The 5590-nt window shown below is 38.9% G+C and overlaps 1 annotated feature.

Annotated features, from left to right (window-relative positions):
- Positions 4521-5215: an enhancer, noted in NCBI's record as "OCT4-NANOG-H3K27ac hESC enhancer chr5:143456065-143456759 (GRCh37/hg19 assembly coordinates)". NCBI's record gives its function as "activates a minimal SCP1, AML or CMV promoter by ChIP-STARR-seq in naive and primed H9 embryonic stem cells {active_cell/tissue: H9 hESC(naive and primed)}" and the evidence as "EXISTENCE:reporter gene assay evidence [ECO:0000049][PMID:30033119]".

Genomic DNA, 5590 nt, shown 5'->3' on the forward strand with positions numbered 1-5590 from the left:
CACTTTTTTGTGTAGGCTGTCACTGTGATGGGGCATCTGACAGGATCTCCAAGGGAAGGTCTGGTATATTACAGCTTAGTGCAGAGATCAGGTAGAGAACTATAGTTTTCAGGCCAAGCCTTGCTTGCCACCCATTTTCATAAATAAACTTTTATTGTGACATAGCCGTATCCATTTGTTTACATAGTATATTCGGCTGTGTGGAGTAGTTGTGGCTGAAACTATATGCCCCACAAAGACTAAAATATTTACTATCAGACCCTTTACAGACCCCTGGCCTAGTGGATCTGTGTTCACTTTCAGGATTTCTCATTGAAGTGGGAGGAAAATGAGTGTCTTCTTTGCCATCTCAAATTCAATACTGGGTGGCTAGTGTAGGTAAAGCTGAATGAACTACCAGGGAAAAATACAGATGTATAGGATGTGCTGTCTGTCCTCAAAATAATATTCATTGGTGGATCCCTTTTCAAAGAGTAGAATGCTTTTCATATCCCTCCCTGCCCGTATTATTTTCTCTGAGAAAAGAATCCAGCTAGTGTTTGCACTTGTAATTCATGACATTTATATAGCACCACAGAGCATGCATAGCCTACACATAATTTTATTGAATCCAGAGATCAGAATCATTGTTTTCCTTCCACATTTGGAGTGGGAGGGGGAAGGCAGAATGAGTCAAAAGCTGGAAATGAGAAAAAGTTTCCTGAAGCATGAAACAAAGTAGAATAGCTATTTTGCTGTGGACCAAGTGGGTAAAGACATGGCATAAACAATGTGGATTCACTAAAAGCCATTATCATGAGCATGATTCATGGGTGTGTAAAAAATTTAAACAAAAATTCCTTTACCCAGTAGTCAAATTTCTCAAATTTATGACTCACTCATCATACCCTTCTATCATCTGGAACTAAATCAAATATTCAGGTTCCATCATGTTTTGGATATTTCAGGTCTTCATTTATCATTTCTCCCCTTAAAGGGCCCTCAGGGAGAGGGCAACGGTTTGATGGATTATATATTTCAATCTTTCACACTCAGGGTAGCATCCTGTTTCCTGGTGTTAAAAGTAAAGATTGTTTCCTTTCCACAAGTAGCTTTTAAGCCCTACTCATTAACGTTTTAGATTATTTTATGGCCTTATATATGATGTAGTTTACAATGATATCATCATCAAAAATTTATGATGCTGCCACGTAAAACTAGAGAAAGAAAAACTCTATCAAAAGAGACACCTCTTTTGAAAAAGTACCTCTGTTAATATGAATACACTGCCATGTTTAAAGATGCAGAACATGTTACAAATAAATGGACATGGCTGATTGTGTTTCCCAGCCTGGCTACATTTTCATATTACTGTGATTAATTCTGTCAAAGGAGGACAATTATGACATCTGAAAGTGTGTTTTGATTTTTAAAATCCAAAAAGGAACATGCCTTCTTGGTTAAATGGAGTTATTAAAATATTTGGTAAGAATGAACTTCCCAAAAGGTAGCATAGCTTTGCTTATCATCTAGACTTAAAATTAAAAGCAGCTTTATGTTAGATTTTAATAAACTGTATAATTTCTAAATTTTTATTTTATATATAAATATATATATTCTTTTTATACATGAGATATGTATCTAGCTATCAGGATAGCACTATGGTTTAATTAATTTTTAAATATTAACAAGGCAATTTGATCCACATTTGTGTAGGTACAGCTGGTTGCCTACATAACATTTATTCTCCTCCTTAAACTTCTTTCTCTCTACTAAAATTCTAATTTTGTGTGGCTATACACCCTCTTCAATAGGGTCATTTACATCAGGGAAGAATGAGCCCTGATTGGTTTAAGTTAATCATGTGATTGATTTAGCTTGGCATGTGAGTCAGGCCAGTGGCCATCAGCAGAAGTCAGCTAAGGGCTTTTTGTGAGATGGTTCTTTCTCATTTGAAAAGTTTGTAAGAAAGAGTTCATTACTGGACATTTTCAATGGGATAGCTAAAACGGTGGCAGTCATATTGAGACCTCAGGCGAGGAACTAGGGGAGGACAAGGCTAACAGGCTGAAGATGGCACAAGACAAGGAAGGAATGATGACATCATGAGCCAAGGATTAATCAACCTTGGAGTTAAGCTGTTCTGACAATTCTTGTTAGAGGAAATGGTTTATTTTCTTTAGTATCTAAGCTAACTTATATTGATGCTTCGGTAACTTGCAGCCTAAAGCAGCTTGACTGATACAGGCCTGAAAGTCAAGCTACTACTTAGCTATTTTGGGGGTTCCTCTCAAAATAGTAACATCAACCCAAAGGAAGAAAGTAGACACACTGTCACTTTAGTATGCCATCTTCAACCATCTAGTGGGCATCTATTGATTTTAATTTTATTTAAATCTAAGGAATAACTACTGTGTTCTGAGTGTCCTGCACTTAACTAAGCTGATTGTCCAAGGAGAAGATATTTCTCTACTGTGACAAGTTCTCCTATTTCCTAATTAAAGTACAATTAATACTCTGAAACAAGAGTAGCAAACTTTTTCATAAGAACTCACACATGGTAAAGAAAGAACTAGAGTGTTGACAATTACAAAGTATCATTGATTAAATGAGAGTTAGAGGCTGGTATGGTTTGGCTGTCTGTCCCCACCCAAGTCTGATCTCGAATTGTAATCTCCACAGGTCAAGGGAGGGACCTGGTGGGAGGTGAATGGATGATGGGGGTGGTTTCCCCCATGCTGTTCTTATGATAGTGAGGGAGTTCTCATGAGATCTGATTGTTTGATAAATGTCTGGCATTTCCCCTGTGCTCACTCTCACTCACCTGCCACCATGTAAGATGTGCCTTGCTTCTCCTTCACCTTTTGCCATGATTGTAAGCTTCCTGAGGCCTCCTCTGCCATGCATAATTGTGAGTCAATTAAACCTTTCTTTATAAAGTACCCAGTCTTAGGTATTTCTTTATAATAGTGTGAAAATGGACTAATACAGAACCCATATTGTGAATGTATCTTTTTAATCATTAACCAGCTGAAAATGTGAACGTTTCTTACTTGAACTAGCACATAGTTCTTAAATTTTAAAAAGAAGCATATAAATGTCTTTGTTTAGGAATGGAAACATATACATGTTATACACACATATCTCCAAATTATGTAGAAAATGTGTATGCTTAGTTTGCATACACTTGTGGATGAGTGTATCTCTCTCTCACACACATGTACATATGTACATTAAACAGACACATGCAAACACATGTGTAAACACATGAGAAAAGGTCTGGAAGGATTTACCTAAAACTACGAATTCTTCTCTGGATGTTAAAGTAGTGGAGATAAATTGAGGGACACAGAAATAGGAGGACACCAGAGGATATGATATCTATCCTATGACTTTATACTTTCTATGAAAAACACAGATGTTTTTATTATATGTATATATGTGACTTATAAGTTCAAGAGCCTTAAAATCTTATACTTTTTGATTTAGCAATTTCTCCTTTACTAACTCATCATATAAAAATAATGTTAAATGTGGAAAAGATTTATATACAAAGATAATTTTCTACAGAATTATTTGTAATAGAAAATATGTGAAGAAGCCAAGATGGCTGAATAGACACAGTCAGGAAGAGCTTCTCTCAACAAGAGAGAACAGACAACCAGGTACACTCTGAATAGGTCTTTGAAAAGAAAGCATTAAAAGTGTACAGAGGGAGGATGCAGATCCCAGGCTGAAAGGGAAGGAAGCTGGGAAACTTGCACAGGGTTGCTGAGCACCAGGACTTGTTACTGGCCCTAAGTGGCTCCTGGAAAAGGGGTGAATGGAATAAGCATGGAATGGCTCACTCTTGCCATGGACCTCTGGAATCCTAGCTGTAGAAGACCCCACAATCCCCATGGACATTTGAGCTGGCACAGGGAACTGGATAGTTGGCAGGGATGGAACTCTAGCTTGCATGGAGGCCAGAGGGTTTTGTGCAGGAACAGCTACAGTAGAGTACAGCCATGGGTACCCATAAACCAAGGCTCACCACACTCCTCTAGGTGGCTTTAGCCTTTGTTGACTGCTGGACAAGGACAGAGCAGGATTATCTTTCTTGTAGGATGGAGCCAGTCTGATCTAAGCAACACTCTGTCTGTTGGCCTATCCTAGGGTCCCTACTGGCTACAGCCTCTTGCAGCGTGGCCTCAGCTGTCCATCCAAGGTGCTTGCCAGCAGCCACATAATAGCTCTTTCACCAGCAGATGCCACCTAATAGTCAGAGAGCTGCTACTGGTGGGCCCCCACTGATGAGCACCTGCCCACAGTCCTCCCTGGCCAGCACATACTCACCTGCAGCTTTCCTCAACTGCTTCTCAGTCACACATTCTCCTGCAGCCTCCCCCTGCTTCATTAATGCAAATGCAGGATCTGGCATTTTCTACTACCTCCTGCATGCTCATGCATGGACATGGCCGCTGCCCACCATCTCCCGGCTGAAATACTTTTGCCAGCATTCCTCATTGGAGGGTTGTTGCCAGCAGACTAGGAACACCTCAGTCCCTTCAATGCAGCAGGTACTGAAACTTGAGGGCCCAAAGAAAAAAGCCATGGCCCAGTCCCAGCATCCCCAGGGTTAGAGTACAAATTTCTAGAGTGCTGAGCTTAGCTTTGCCCCCTGAACTAATAAAGAAGCAAAGCCAATAGACAAAACCCAACTTATACCACAGTCAAACCCACAAGGGCATCAAAGAATTAAAGATCAAAGGGCTCTATCCAAAGGGAACAGCTTTAAAGATTAAAGGAACATCAGCCCACACAGATGAGAAAGAACCAGCAGAAGAACTCTGGCAACCCTAAAAGCCAGAGTCTCTTCTTAGCTTCAAATAACCTCACTAGCTTCCAGGTAATGGCTCTTAACCAGATGGAAATGGCTGGAGTGACAGACATAGAATTTAGAATCTAAATGACAATGAAGATCATCAAGATTAAAACCCAATCCAAGGAATCTAAGGAATCCAGTAAAACGATTCAAGAGCTGCAAGACAAAATAGCCATTTTAAGAAAGAATGAAACTGATCTTATACAGCTTAAAAACTCACTACAAGAATTTCATAATAAAATAGGAAATATTGGAGCAAAATAGACCAAGCTGAGGAAAGAATTTCAAAGCTCAAATGCCAGTTCTTTAAATGAATTCAGTTAGACAAAAATTATTTTAAAATAATTTTTAAAAATGAATAAAATTTCTGAGAAATATGGGATTATGTGAAGAGACCAAATCTATGACTCATTGACATCCCAGAAAGAGAGAGAGAGAGCAAGCAACTTGGAAAACATATTTGAGGATATTGTCCACAAAAGTTTCCACAATCTCCCTAGAGAGGTTTACATGCAAATTCAGGAAATTCAGAGAACCCCAGTAAGATACTATACAAGATAACGATTTCCAAGACACAGTCATCAGATTCTCCAAATCAATGTGAAAGAAAAGAACATTAAAGACAGATAGAGAGAAGGGGAAGGTCAAATACAAAGGGAATTCTTTCAGGCTAACAGTGGACCTTTCAGTAGAACCCTTGCAAGACAGAAGAGACTGGGAGTCTATATGTAGCATCCTTAAAGAAAA

The sequence above is a fragment of the Homo sapiens genome, chromosome 5 (assembly GCF_000001405.40).
Source record: "Homo sapiens chromosome 5, GRCh38.p14 Primary Assembly".
In the NCBI taxonomy this organism is placed as follows: Eukaryota; Metazoa; Chordata; class Mammalia; order Primates; family Hominidae; genus Homo; species Homo sapiens.